The following is a 13,650-nucleotide window of genomic DNA, read 5'->3' as shown; positions in this document are numbered from 1 at the left end:
CTAATTTTTTTGTTTTTTGTAGAGATGGGGGTCGTGCTATGTTGCCCAGGCTGGTCTCAAACTCCTGGCCTCAAGTCATCCTTCTGCCTCGGCCTCCCAAAGTGTTAGGATTACAGGCGTGAGCCACCGCACCCAGCCTGGTGTCTTTTTCTTGAGCCATCTTCTATCCATACACTGCACCACTCTAGCCACATTTTACTTTTCCATTCTGGTGAGGGCGCGTGGTTACCACCCCCAAACCCCCATCCCATTCTCATCCCACACATCTACCAATTTCTACTTTTTGGTCAAAAACACATAGTGGTGCTGAGGAAACCAGGATCTTGAAAATACCTGGGCCCAAGAAAATCTTGGGAAATAATGAGTTAAATAAAATACTACTGATATGATGATGTATAAAACAGTACTGATATGATGGCTGAGTGTGGTGGCTCATGCCTATAATCCCAGCACTTTGGGAGGCCAAGATGGGCAGATCACTTGAGCCCAGGAGTTCCAGATCAGCCTGGGCAACATGGTAAAACTCTCTACTAAAAAATACAAAGATTACTCTCTACTAAAAAAAATACAAAAATAAGCCGGGCGTGGTGGTGGGTGCCTTGTAATCCCAGCTACTTGGAAGGCTGAGGTGGGAGGATCATTTGAGCCTGGGAGGCAGAGGTTGCAGTGAGCCGAGATTGTGCCACGGCACTCCAGCCTGGGCAACAGAGCGAAACTCTGTCTCAAACAAATAAACAAACAAACAAAAAAAAAAAGAAAGAAAGGAAAAAAAAAGAAAAAGAGAAAAGAGCACGATTGAGAGGTTGTGTTCGCTAAGGGTTTTATATGCATGCCTTCACGGGATTGACTCCTGTGGGTTAGGCACATTTTCATTTTCATCTTAAAGATGAGGAACTTGAGCTCATAATGCAGAGGCAAGGTTAGGGGCTCCAGCCCAGCTGAGACCGCGTGGCAAAGCTGTGGCCAAGCCCCTTGGGGAGGATTTGATTGGCTGGAGCCCGGAAGGGGAGCTGGCCTGCTCCCCACCAGAAGCAGCTAGTGCATTTCAGTGGTTCTCACACTCAAGTCCTAACAAAGGCCGAAGAACGGGCTTGCATCCTTCTCCAAGGGCAACTTCTGTGCATTTAAAATGTTCCTACTGAAAATCCCAGTCTTAGCCCATTCACGAAAAGTGTCAGCTGTTTCTTGGCTGTAGCCCTAGCTGTATTCACTAAAGAGAAAAGACAGCTTTACAAAGGCGCTGCCGGCTCTAGGAGGACCCGGGAAAAAGTCTCGGAGTCTGCAGGACTCGCCAGCGGGCAGGAAGCTCATTGAAAGCGATGCAGGCACTGCCCCCGCCCCCGAGTGGCCTTTTCTCTTCCCCACAGTAACCGAGTAACTGAGCTTGCTCTGTGACAGGCTCTGCTGGCATCACACCATTTAACCACCCCACGAAGCAGGTCCTGTTGTTACCGTTATTGGTGCTGTTGTTGAGAAACCTGCGACAGAGGTAAAGTCACCTACTGAGGCTCACTCAGGGACAGAGGTGGGCTTGAACCCTAAGCCCTATCTGTTGGACTCCAAGTCTGCCTCTTATCTCGGAGAAACTCTGCTGCCTTGTTTAGTGATGTGGGAAGTGGACTAGATTGGGCACAGCCTGGGCCATTGTCACTGTCACACTGTCACTGCAGGGAGCTGTGGACCCAGGGCATCCCAGAGTCAGGAGGCTGATGACCACGAGGTTCTCTGTGAATGACCAGCACTGAGGTTTTCCCCAACATTTTATGTCAGGTCTGATTTGCACAGCCAGAGGTATTAGTATAGAACTATGCCTTTTTTTCTGTTTTAAAAGAGACAAGGTCTTGCTGTGTTGCCCAGGCTGGAGGGCAGTGGTGCGATCATAGCTTACTGCAGCCCCAAACTACTAGGCTCAATTGATCCTCCTGCCTTAGCCTCCCAAGTAGCTGAGATTACAGGTGTGTGGTGCCATACCTGGCTAATTTGTTTATTTTTATTTTTAGAGGTGGTGTCTTGCTATGTTGCCCAGGCTGGTCTCAAGTGATCCTCCTGCATCAGCCTCCCAAAGTTCTGATATTACAGACGTGAGCTACCCTGCCCAGCTGGAAGTATGACTTTGGACTCTGGGAAGTTCTGCTCCGTGAAGAGATGTTCAAGTGTTAAAACTACAGTGGTTGTCTGTGTGTCAGGGGCGGATAGTTCTGAAACTCAAGGTGAGTAATTTCGTTTCCCAGAGCCTCAACTGTTCCATCTTTATGAAGGGGCACTGAGATTTTATACAGGAGACGTGGAAAAAAATCGACTCTTTGTGAAAATGTTAGGTGTGAAACTTAAAGGAATTCTACTTTCCTCTCCTAGGGAGCAGCTGCTGCCTAAACAGATGTATACAGGTTCCCTTTCGAGTCTTGCACCACTGAAAAAAAACTGTTTTCTCTGATGTTGTCAAATTCTTGAACAGCAAGCAAAAAAAAAAAAAAAGATTTTCCCCCTTTTTCCCTTGACAAACAGGAGTTTCTGATGACATGTTAGTCACAAACCTTAAATGCAAACTGAGCCTGGGGATGAACCCCGAGAGAAATGGTGATGGAGTAGGCGGGGTGCATCCTGGAAAGGAATAGGGGGGATGAGTGGATGGGCTGGGAGGGCCGGGATCGGAGGTCGCTGAGGTCCCGTTTCTGTAGCTGAGTAGCCCGGTGACACTGCCCTCCGACCTCCTCAGTTTCCCCTCTCAGCGGGCAGATGCCCGGCAGCCCTCCTCGCAGGCTGATGTGAGGTGAGGGTGGGCCGTGCCCTGTGGGGTGCATCTGACAGCAAGTGCTCCTTACATAATACCATCAGCCTTGCTGTGATCGTGGCTCTACTTCCTATCAAATCTTTCCCTACGTTGTGAATTCCATGAATTTGAAAGTTCCCAGCTCCAGCTGGGGACGCTGACACAGGTTTGGCTTGGCCGCTTCGGACCTTCCTCCTCCCGCTCGGTGGAAGGCTGGCCAGCCCGCATTGTGTGTGCCTAGGGAGGCCATGAATAATGCATGTGGACTGATTATGTAAATCTGCAGGTTTTCTTTCATTTTCAGCCAGTGCATGACAATGGGCTTTTTAGGGCCCTCTGCCGTCCCATTCTGTGGTTTGGTGTCTCTGCTGTGGGCCTGGCCTGCCAAGCCCTGGGGGACACTGCCTCGGGAAGGAGCGAACTCTCCTGTGGGTACATCAAAGGACATCTCAGGACTCTGCTGCTGCCCAGATCTCCCTGGCATGGCACAGCGTAAAAGGAAACGGTCCTCTGCCCGAGGCAGCCCCACGACATGTGCAGATGGGGGCCTGTGATGTTTAATTCAGAGTGGTGAGTGCTGGAAAGGCCACGTCCAGAGCAGAGCGCTGCCTTCATTTTTGGGGGCTGCAAGCCAGGGAGCCTGTGGTCTGCAAGGTTTGTGGGATGAAGGCCAGGCCTCTGCAAGGAGCTCACCTGGTTGGTGGAGGGGGCACCCTTCTCTGGGGGTTTGGCTCTCTCTGAGCTCAGGCAGGCAACACACACAAACACACACACATAGTGTCACACACAGCCAAACCCTCATGCACATGGTACACATGTGCACACACACACACACATGAGAATGTACACACACACGAGAATGCACACACACATAAAAGCTGACAGTTACAAGGAGGGGACTCACGGCCAACCCTGCAGACAGCAGGAGAACCAGGGTCAGAGGGATCTGGGGTCAGGTCCCAGCTGTCCTTACCAGCCGCTGTGTGCACTTGGGCGCCTCTTAACTCTCTGAGGCGCAGTTTCCTCATCTGTAAAATAGGGATCATCGTACCAGGCAGGGCTATTAGAGGCATTAATAAGCCCTATCACGGCTGCAAAGCTCAGGTGAGCCCAGTCCCTGGCCTGGAGACGGTCATGAAGAAACAGTGACTGTGGTTCTTTCCCTGACTTGCCTAACCCCAGCCTTGGGATCTGCTCCACCTTAGGCAAGAGTGAAGGAAAGGGAGAGTCTGGCTCTATTTAGAGGTCACTGTTCCAGTGCCTTGTGGACTGCAGGAGTGGATGATGAATATGTCAACTGCAAAGCAGACAGGAAAGCCCCTCTGCCAGCTTTCAGGGAGCTTTGGAAGCCGCCCGGGTGCTGCTCATGTGTGACTTGCTTTGGGGAAACTTTCCAGTGTGTAGACCCTACCGGGTCTGAGGCAGGACTCACCCAGGAGACCACCTGCATGGGTCACGGGCAGCATGGGTCATGGGCAGCATGGGGAAGGCAGTGTCCGCCGGCTGGTGCCAGGCCCTGGGCAGGTGCTTCAGAGACGGGACAAGCACCCTCACCATCCAAAAGCACTTGGCTCCTGAGGTATGACGACAGCGAGAGTGGACAGCAGATAGCGAGGGATGCCTGCATTCTTTCATCCTCACCATCTGTCTGCGAGGCAGGGGCTGGAAGCTCCCATCTACTAATGAGGAAAGCAAGGCTCAGAGAGGCAAAGAGATCTGCACAAGGTCGCACAGTTAATAAGTGCGGGGATTTGAGCCCAGGACCGGCTGACTCCTGTACCATGCTACAGATGAGATACCAGAGTGTGTGCGCGTGCGCGTGTGTGTGTGTGGTGGGAGGGGGACCCATTTTCGCTGGGTCACCAGCCTGAGACTGGAATCTCGGTTTCTCAAGCCAGTGTTATTTCCAACTCTGTGCCAGGGAGCAAATCTCATCCTCACACCTTTCCTCTGCGGCTCCTTCAGCCGGGAATGTCCACCCTCTCATCCCTTTGGTGGACAAACTCCAGCTCTCCTTTGCGGTCACTGGCGGCATTGTGGCTTTGGCAGGCCCTCGCTGCATGTTCTAACCAGGCTGAGTGCCCTTCCTGGACTGCACAGCCTCGACAGCCTTCAGCTATGAAATCCACCTGAAGTCAGCTCTCTGTTCCACACTAAGGGATATGTTCTTCAAGGACATCCATCTGCCCATCCACCTGTATACTCCTCAGTCCATCTATTCTTCCATCTGTCCATCAACCTGTCTGTCCTTCCACCCATCCGTTCACCAAATATTTACTGGGTGTCTACCGCGTGCCAGGCACTCAGAATAGTGAATCCAAATCTCCACTCTCTGAGAGCTTATGTATCCCTAGCACCTGGCAGATTGATATAAATATGAATAACAACCACCATTAAAAAAAATACAGATGAGCACCATGAGTCTCAGAGAGGTTAAGAAACCTATCTAAGGTCACATAGCAAGTGGTTGAGCTCTGGTCTAAATCTAGGTCTGTCTGATGCAAAAGCTATCCAGTTGCCTCCCTTTGCATCCATCCCTGTGTTCTGTGCTACCTGGATCCTCCAGGGACCACCCTCGGCCATTGCTAATGGGAGCTGCAGGGCAGCCTGGGAGGTTCTGCCCTGGGCAGCAGCGCCTCACCTTCTGCTGCCGGATGGCCCTGTTGATCCTCTTCTCCTGGCACAGCTGGTGCTCCATGCGCTCCAGGGCCTCCTTCAGCAGGGCCTTCTCTTCGGCCTCTTTGTAGATATCATCCTCCAGCTTTGCCACCTGCGACTGGTACATCTCAATGGACACTTTGCTCCGCCTGGGTGCACAGGAGAGATGGCGTCTGTTTTTCCCTTATCTTTCCCAATCATCATCAATGTGCCAGACCCGGAAGTCTCTCAAAATACATCCACAGTGGGGGCTCACTCAGGAGTGTCATCACAAGCAGGAGAGCATGACGAAGATTTGGGGTACAGAGAGCAGAACGAGCCATTCATCAGCCGAATGTGTGTAGCGGGAGGGGATAAAGGATGTGCTACCAGCCCCTCCTGACTTCCTGGGGAGTGGGGAACTGCGACTCTTGAAAATATGACGGAGCTGTCAATGCTACACAACTGGGAAACCATAAGTCAAGGGTCGCAAGAGGTGCAGCTTGCACAGAAAATAGTTCACAGAATGGGGAAACCGTGCACTTCTGCAGCCGTGATCTCGGGGACAGAATTCCCTCTACCAGGCCTAGTCAGTGCCCTCCCTGGTCCCCTTCTGACATTGCAGGTATTCCACACGTGGGTCTCTGTCCTCCTGTCCCAGGCCTAGAGGTCTGCTGCTAGCCTGAGTTTAGCCAGGAGAAGGGAGGCCCGGGCCTTTCTGTGGGGACATGGGGGTGCCGAGGTACCTGAGCTGTTCAACGTCCTTTTCATATCCTCTCAACAGCTCCTCTTTCCTCCCCAGCTGGTTCTTGAGTTGGGTGATCTTATCAAACACCAGGTCGAGGTCCCTTTGTCGAAGCTGGTTGACCTTCTCCCTCTCCTGGCGGGAGAGGTATTTCATGGACACGTGGCCTGACATATTCTTGATGTTCATGAGACTTCCGAGGGTTTTGCTCATATCCAGGTACTACAAGGAAAACGTTCGCGCATAAGAGGCATTACCCGCGGCCGCTGGTGGCCGCTTTAAGGAGGCCAATGTCTAATTCTGTTTCATTCACTTTCTGCAATTGCAGAGAACACGCACATGCTTTGAAAGGATGTGCAACTGGGGCTTTCAGCATGACTTTCCTTTCTCCCACATCCATTTACGCTATGCCTTTTTTGAGAACCGGGGGTGAAAAATGACAACAGATATAAACACTTCATTCTAACCACCCAGTTTTTCAAGGAATTTGGCTATGTGATTCCTGACCCATGCTGGGATAGTAGGTAGGTCCTGCAGAGTTATTAGAGTAACTAAATAGGCATGTGAGGTTGATATTTAAACTATCCTGCGTTCAACACTGACTGCAGGGGCCCCAGGCTTTGGATAGGAGCAGGGTGGATGCTGGATGTACATACCAGCTTTTCACTGAGCTCTAAAGCCTCAGCCACATCCATCTTCCCTGACTTCTCCATGGCTGAGCCGAACCTTGCGTTGCAAAGGCCATTCTGAGGCTGAAATCAGAAAGAAATGAAAGGCCTCTCTTGACATTCCATTATGACTTTCTATGACTGGAAGCTAAAGCACTGTGTGATTACCGAAGATTAACTCAAGAGAGTTGATTTTCAGTCCGCGTCCTGATCATTCCGTCTGATTCCTTTGTCAACTGCTTTCTTATAATTGTATTCCCACCCTTCAGAGAATGACTCTGTCTTTGAAGTCTCTGTAATTATACATCACTTGTCTTGTTCTTTGATCACCGCCTGTCTTCCCTCTAGAACAGTGGTTCTCAATTGGGGTGGTTTTGTCCCCTCCCCTGGGCCATTTGGCAGTGTTTGGACACATTTTTGATTGTCACAACTGCAGGCGGGGAGTGCTACTAGCATCTAGGGGGTAGAGAGCAAAGACGCTACTAGACATCCACACATGCCCCCACAAACCACGCCAGATTGTGGGGCCCTAAAATATCAACAGTGCTAAGGCCTGGAAACACTGGTCCAGAGGAGAGTGCCATAGAAGCAGGGATGGTGTTGCTGTTTGCTCACTCTCCCCCTCCTTGTGCCCAGCATGGCACCTGGCACAGAGTGGGCATGTTTGTCAAATGAATGAATGCAGGTTAAATAGAAAACATCCCCCCTCCTTTTATTAAAGGAATGCCATTTTCACGCAGCGGAAACTGGACGCTCACTTCCGACCCTTTCCAGAGATGATGCAGATGGTGGGTGAGCATCACTTCAGTGTGGGGAAAAGCAAGAGAGATCAGATTGTTACTGTGTCTGTGTAGAAAGAAGTAGACATGGGAGACTCCATTTCGTTCTGTACTAAGACAAATTCTTCTGCCTTGAGATTCTGTGACCTTACCCCCAACCCCGTGCTCTCTGAAACATGTGCTGTGTCAAACTCAGGGTTAAATGGATTAAGGGTTGTGCAAGATGTGCTTTGTTAAACAGATGCTTGAAGGCAGCATGCTCCTTAAGAGTCATCACCACTCCCTAATCTCAAGTACCCAGGGACACAAACACTGCGGAAGCCGCATGGACCTCTGCCTAGGAAAGCCAGGTATTGTCCAAGGTTTCTCCCCATGTGAAAGTCTGAAATATGGCCTCGTGGGAAGGGAAAGACCTGACCGTCCCCCAGCCAGACACCCGTAAAGGGTCTGTGCTGAGGAGGATTAGTATAAGAGGAAGGCATGCCTCTTGCAGTTGAGACAACAGGAAGGCATCTGTCTCCTGCCCGTCCCTGGGCAATGGAATGTCTCGGTATAAAACCCGATTGTACGTTCCATCTACTGAGATAGGGAAAAACCGCCTTAGGGCTGGAGATGGGACATGCAGGCAGCAATACTGCTTTGTAAAGCATTGAGATGTTTGTGTGTATGCATATCTAAAAGCACAGCACTTAATCCTTTACCTTGTCTATGATGCAAAGACCTTTGCTCACGTGTTTGTCTGCTGACCCTCTCCCCACAATTGTCTTGTGACCCTGACACATCCCCCTCTCGGAGAAACACCCACGAATGATCAATAAATACTAAGGGAACTCAGAGGCTGGCGGGATCCTCCATATGCTGAACGCTGGTTCCCCGGGCCCCCTTATTTCTTTCTCTATACTTTGTCTCTGTGTCTTTTTCTTTTCCAAGTCTCTCGTTCCACCTTACGAGAAACACCCACAGGTGTGGAGGGCAACCCACCCCTTCACTTCAGACCCTTTCCAGAGAGGAGACAGCTGTGCACCTGCTAAGACCCTGCTCAGCCGGCTGCTTGCTGAAAGCCCCAGCCAAAGGCATAGAAAAGCCACCAGGCCAAGCGGGGAGTCTGGAGGCCACGGACAACCCCCATACATCCCCTCACAACTAAATTGGGTTTTAAGTGCTCGCCACGAACACCAAGAGCATGTCAGCTTGCAGCATTTACCGGCTCTATACTGTAAACCTGGGAGATTAAAAAAAACAAAAATAAAAACAAAAAACCCATTCACAAAAATCTAAAAGCCTGAAGGTGACTGTGATAGGTAAGTGTGACATATTTGTCTATATTAAGAGTGGACACATTTATCTATCTATGAGATGAGAATAAAGCAGGTATTTAAAGATGACAATAAATTGGGCAGTTTTGCTACAAAAAGAACCTAAAACGCAGCTTGGTGTCTCCAGCTCCCTCAACTGCATCCTCTGCACTCCCCTTCAGAATCCCCTCTCTTTTCCTGCAGCTTGCAGGAGTCCGGAGGGAGGGTGACCTAAGGAAGAGTCCAGGCTGCAGGTTCGATCACACCATCCCCATCTCCTTCTCTGCAGACCAGCAGGCTGCAAGAGGCGGACCTCCAGGGACACAGTCCTGGCTCTGTCATTCATTATCTTTGTGACCTTGGGTGAAGTGCTTGACCTTCTGAAGCCTTAATTTTTCTTTTCCTTTCTCTTCTTTTCTTTTTTTTTTGACGGAGTTTCACTCTTTCGCCCAGGCTGGAGTGCAGTGGTGCGATGTTGGTTCACTGCAACCTCTGCCTCCCGGGTTCAAGTGATTCTCGTGCCTGAGCACGGATGTGCACCACCATGCCTGGCTAAGTTTTGTATTTTTAGCAGAGACGGGGTATTGCCATGTTGGCCAGGCTGGTCTCAAACTTCTAGCCTCAAGTGATCTGCCTGCCTCGGCCTCCCAAAGTGTTGGGATTACAGGCGTGAGCCACCGTGCCTGGCCTGAAGTCTTCATATTTCTTATCTGTAAAACGGGGATAACAATGGTAACTGACCCAGGCTGCTGTGTGGATTAAATGAAATAACACATGTGAAGGGCTCTGCTCAATGCCTGGTACACAGTAAGCACTCAGTAAATGCCAGCTGTTCTTCCTCCTGCTCCTTCTCTTCATTTTTCTTTTCTTTTTTTTTTTGAGACAAAGTCTCATTCTGTCACCCAGGCCAGAGTGCAATCATGTGATCTTGGCTCACTGCAGCCTCCACTTCCTGGGCTCAAGTGATTCTCTAGCCTCAGCCTCCTGAGTAGCTGGGACTACAGGCATGAGCCACCAATGCCTGGCTAATTTTTTGTAGAGACAGGGTCTCGCCATGTTGCCCAGGCTGGTCTCGAACTCCTGAGCTCAAAGTGATCTGCCCGCCTTGGCCTCCCAAAGTGCTGGGATTACAGGCATGAGCCACTGTGCTTGGCCCCTTTATCTTAATTTGAATTGCTGCCAGTGTTGTGTCGGAAGATTGAGGACTTCTGAGAGAGTGGAGAGGTTTCCTGCTGCATGGTGTCTGTGGTGGCACTGAGGCCCTGTGGAGGGGAAGGCCCGTCTTGGGAGCGGGTCAGTCTGTGGTGGGACTGGAGCACTGCCAAGGGGAAGGCCTGTCTTGGGAGCGGGTCAGGCTGGGAATCAAACTGATCTCAACCTGGAGGCTGTCCCTCCACTCCCACCCTCAGGGAAGTAGGGTTTGATTTTCTCTAGAAAACCAGCTCATTTCCAAAGACCCTCTTCCTGGACTCTGGCAAATGTCCAGAAAAACTGCCAAGAGAATGTAGGATAGCCTCATTATTTCTTCTAGAAGCCTGTGTGGTGTGGATCCAGCTGCGGCAGCACACGTGCCCTCGGCGGGTCCTGTGACAGATGCTGACCTGTCACGTGTCCATCAAATGCCCAAACATCCATTTAGGGTAAAAAGGCACCTTCAACTGCACAATCAAATCACTTCTGGAAATCCTGTTGTCCCTGCTGGAGAGCAGTGGCACGATCATAGCTCACTGTAGCCTCAAACTCCTGAGCTCAAGTGATCTTCCCATGTCAGCCTCCTGACTAGCCAGGACTGCAGGTACCTGGCTCCATGCCTGACTAGCGTTATTTTTAATTTTTTTGTAGAGATGGGGTCTCGCTATGTTTCCCAGGCTGGTCTCAAGCTCCTGACCTCAAGCGATACCCTTCTCTTGGCCTCACAAAGTGGTGGGATGATGGGCGTGAGCCACCACACCTGGCCTATTTAAATAATTTTAATAATAACATCTATCATTTATTAAGTTTTTCCTCTGAGCCAGGCACTAGGCTAAGCGCTTTCCAGAATTATCTCCTTCAGTATTTTTGTCATCATTTTACAGCTGGGAAATGGAGTCCCAGAAAGGTCAAGAGCCTTGCCCAAGGTCACACAGCTCGCAGAGCTCGGATCTGGACACAGGTCCCTCTGACTCTAGGAACTTGTGTGCTCTGAATCACGGATCCCTTCTCCTGCCTTTTATGTGGTTGTGTTTTTCAGGTAACAGCGAAAAGCAAACTTTAGGCAAACTCATGGCATAACATGATCTATTAGCCTGCTGAACATGTTCTGCAGAATATCACCCGTGATCGGCCGGGCACAGTGGCTCACGCCTGTCATCCCAGCACTTTGGGAGGCCGAGGCGGGCGGATCATGAGGTCAGGAGATCAAGACCATCCTGGCTAACAAGGTGAAACCCTGTCTCTACTAAAAATACAAAAAAATTAGCCGGGTGTGGTGGCGGGTGCCTGTAGTCCCAGCTGCTCAGGAGGCTGAGGCAGGAGAATGGCATGAACTTGGGAGGCGGAGCTTGCAGTGAGCCAAGATAGTGCCACTGCACTCCAGCCTGGGTGACAGAGCGAGACTCTGTCTCAAAAAATAAATAAAAAAATAAATAAAAAAATAAATAAATAAATAAATAAATAAATAAATAAAATAAAAATAAATAAAAATAAAAAATAAAATAAAGAATATCATACATGATCTGGAAAGGGGGCCCGCCATGCTTCAGCGATTAACGTGGCCCAATGTCAACACCATGCGGAACCATACTGTGGGCAAGTGGAAGGCTACCTTTCTGTGCAAACCCTGGACAACGGGTATGGTCGGGGCCCCAGCTAGTGAGTATAGACAGCAGCCAGCCCCAAACCACTGACATGTATGGCTGTGCCAGGGAACGAAGCTAGTGTCTGCCCTCAGGCCCCTCCTCTCCACATGCCAGTCACAGCAGAGAGAATTTTCTTTGGTTACCGCTAGGATCTCTATTCTTGAGAGAGTTGGCAAATCCGGTTTTGCATCCAGTAGTATTTTCTGGACATTGTTTTCCATTCTGAGGTTCTTTAAATCTAGAAATGATTCATTCTGGTGGTCTTTATGATCTGTAAAAGAAATAAAGTAGACTCAAAAGAAAGGCTCAGGAAGAAGTTGTTTCATGTAATAACCATAGCAACTATTTACAGGACACTTACACAGGCCTGTTTTAATCCTTACGACCTCCCGTGGCAGATGAGGACACAGTCCTAGAGAGATTAAATGACCTGGCCAAGGTCACCCGGCTCATAGGAGGCTGCAGCCACACAGGTATCAGCGCCGAGACCATTGAGGGTGGACTTTGCTAAGGTCCTTCAGCCATGGAACCAAGACGGAACTTGAACCCAGGCTTCCAGGTCCTAGACCAGTGCCCCAGCCTGCAGTGGGCCCCAAGTCTTAGGGGAGTTCTACCCCCTCTAAAGGGGGTACTGTAAGTGGTTCTCCAACATTGATCCTTAGACAGTATTCATCCATGACAAAGTTCTCACCCAGCCACCATGAAATAAGAAAAAGTAGGCTGGGTGTGGTGGCTCTCGCCTGTAATCTCAGCACTTTGGGAGGCTGAGGCGGGTGGATCACAAGGTCAGGAGTTCAAGACCAGCCTGACCAATATGGTGAAATCCCGTCTCTACTAAAATATAAAAATTGGCCAGGTGTGGTGGCTAGTTCCTGTAGTCCTAGATACTAGGGAGGCTGAGGCAGGACAATCACTAGAACCTGGGAGGCGGAGGTTGCAGTGAGGCAAGAATGCACCACTGCACTCCAGGCTGGGTGACAGAGCGAGACTCTGTCTCAAAAAAAAAAAACAAACAAAAAAAAAAACGTACAATAGTGAGTTATGCATGAAATCCTATTTATTTAATATCAAGGCCTGCACTTGACTCTGAGATCATGGTCTGCCCATCTTTTTGTGTATTACAATGTCCTCCAAGTTCTGGGATGATGCAGATAAAACATGGTAGTCCTGGCAAACTGGTCAGTCCCCAAAGTGAGCCGGAGTCTGGGGTCCACTGCTCTGACTAGGAAGGAGGAGACTTACCTGGTGAGCGCGCCTTCTCGAGTTCTTTAATTCGCGCTCGAAGTTCAGATAAGGCCTTTTTCTGACGCTGAATGACCTCCTCGTGCCGGGACCCTTTGCACCTGACCCCTAGATCGCTGAAGGATTGCTGCTGTGGGCAGAATGGGGCGGGCAGCATTTGATCAGGGATTAGAAGATTTCTCTTACATTCACAGAAATGTGAACAATTCATGTATAGAGGAACCCAGTCACTTAGCACCTTTGGAAAAATAGCATTAGGGCTTCAGCAGAGATAGAATTTACATTTTTCATCTCAAATATCGGGTCACATGTAGGAAGACTTCCAACTTTCTTATTTAGCATTACTATAAATAAAAGCCCCTCCACGTTCCCTCTCCACGTTTTATTTTTTCTTCTAATACTGTTCTATGCCTAGGTTTCCATTCGCTGTCATGCTGGTCTTGTTTCTGAACAATCACAGCCAATTCTACTCCCGGAGGGGCATTTTCAGATGAGAACCCATGATGCTTTCTTTTAACTGGTGATAAGGATGATTATTTAATATTTGCTAGGGGGATTTGATAGATTGGCTCTTGGTTGGGCTGGAGAAATGAAAACCTTCCTCTGAGGCTTCGGAGCTTCTGGAACCCCACGGAACTTTCTGTGGTGAAGGGAATGTTTTATACCTGCACTGTCCA

The 13,650-nt window shown here is 49.7% G+C and overlaps 1 protein-coding gene across 37 annotated transcripts in view, besides 3 other annotated features; it reads right to left on the bottom strand.

The window, feature by feature from the left end:
* The window catches only part of FHAD1 (forkhead associated phosphopeptide binding domain 1), a 166,490-nt gene that overhangs the window by 15,406 nt on the left and 137,434 nt on the right, over positions 1-13,650 (bottom strand). For 13 of the 37 annotated variants that reach the window (XM_017000198.3, XM_017000199.3, XM_017000200.2 and 10 more), the window contains 6 exons: positions 12,974-13,103; positions 11,875-12,002; positions 6,809-6,904; positions 6,154-6,374; positions 5,412-5,577; positions 3,675-3,798 (listed from right to left, as the gene is read on the bottom strand). In XM_017000198.3, the coding sequence (XP_016855687.1) occupies positions 3,675-3,798; positions 5,412-5,577; positions 6,154-6,374; positions 6,809-6,904; positions 11,875-12,002; positions 12,974-13,103 (865 nt within the window). Of the gene's footprint in view, positions 1-3,674; positions 3,799-4,202; positions 4,450-5,411; positions 5,578-6,153; positions 6,375-6,808; positions 6,905-11,874; positions 12,003-12,973; positions 13,104-13,650 lie in introns of those variants that run through there. The other 24 variants (XM_047443734.1, XM_011540581.4, XM_011540582.4 and 21 more) reach the window with 8 other exon arrangements.
* Positions 2,209-2,856: an enhancer, noted in NCBI's record as "OCT4-NANOG-H3K27ac-H3K4me1 hESC enhancer chr1:15711245-15711892 (GRCh37/hg19 assembly coordinates)". NCBI's record gives its function as "activates a minimal SCP1, AML or CMV promoter by ChIP-STARR-seq in naive H9 embryonic stem cells {active_cell/tissue: H9 hESC(naive)}" and the evidence as "EXISTENCE:reporter gene assay evidence [ECO:0000049][PMID:30033119]".
* Positions 2,733-2,852: an enhancer, noted in NCBI's record as "active region_236". NCBI's record gives its function as "activates an Ori minimal core promoter by ATAC-STARR-seq in GM12878 lymphoblastoid cells {active_cell/tissue: GM12878}" and the evidence as "EXISTENCE:reporter gene assay evidence [ECO:0000049][PMID:35858748]".
* Positions 2,857-3,504: an enhancer, noted in NCBI's record as "OCT4-NANOG-H3K27ac-H3K4me1 hESC enhancer chr1:15710597-15711244 (GRCh37/hg19 assembly coordinates)". NCBI's record gives its function as "activates a minimal SCP1, AML or CMV promoter by ChIP-STARR-seq in naive H9 embryonic stem cells {active_cell/tissue: H9 hESC(naive)}" and the evidence as "EXISTENCE:reporter gene assay evidence [ECO:0000049][PMID:30033119]".

Source organism: Homo sapiens, chromosome 1, assembly GCF_000001405.40.
Source record: "Homo sapiens chromosome 1, GRCh38.p14 Primary Assembly".
Taxonomy (NCBI): Eukaryota; Metazoa; Chordata; class Mammalia; order Primates; family Hominidae; genus Homo; species Homo sapiens.
Note: the sequence above shows the minus strand (reverse complement) of the source record. Positions and strands in the feature narration are given on the sequence as shown.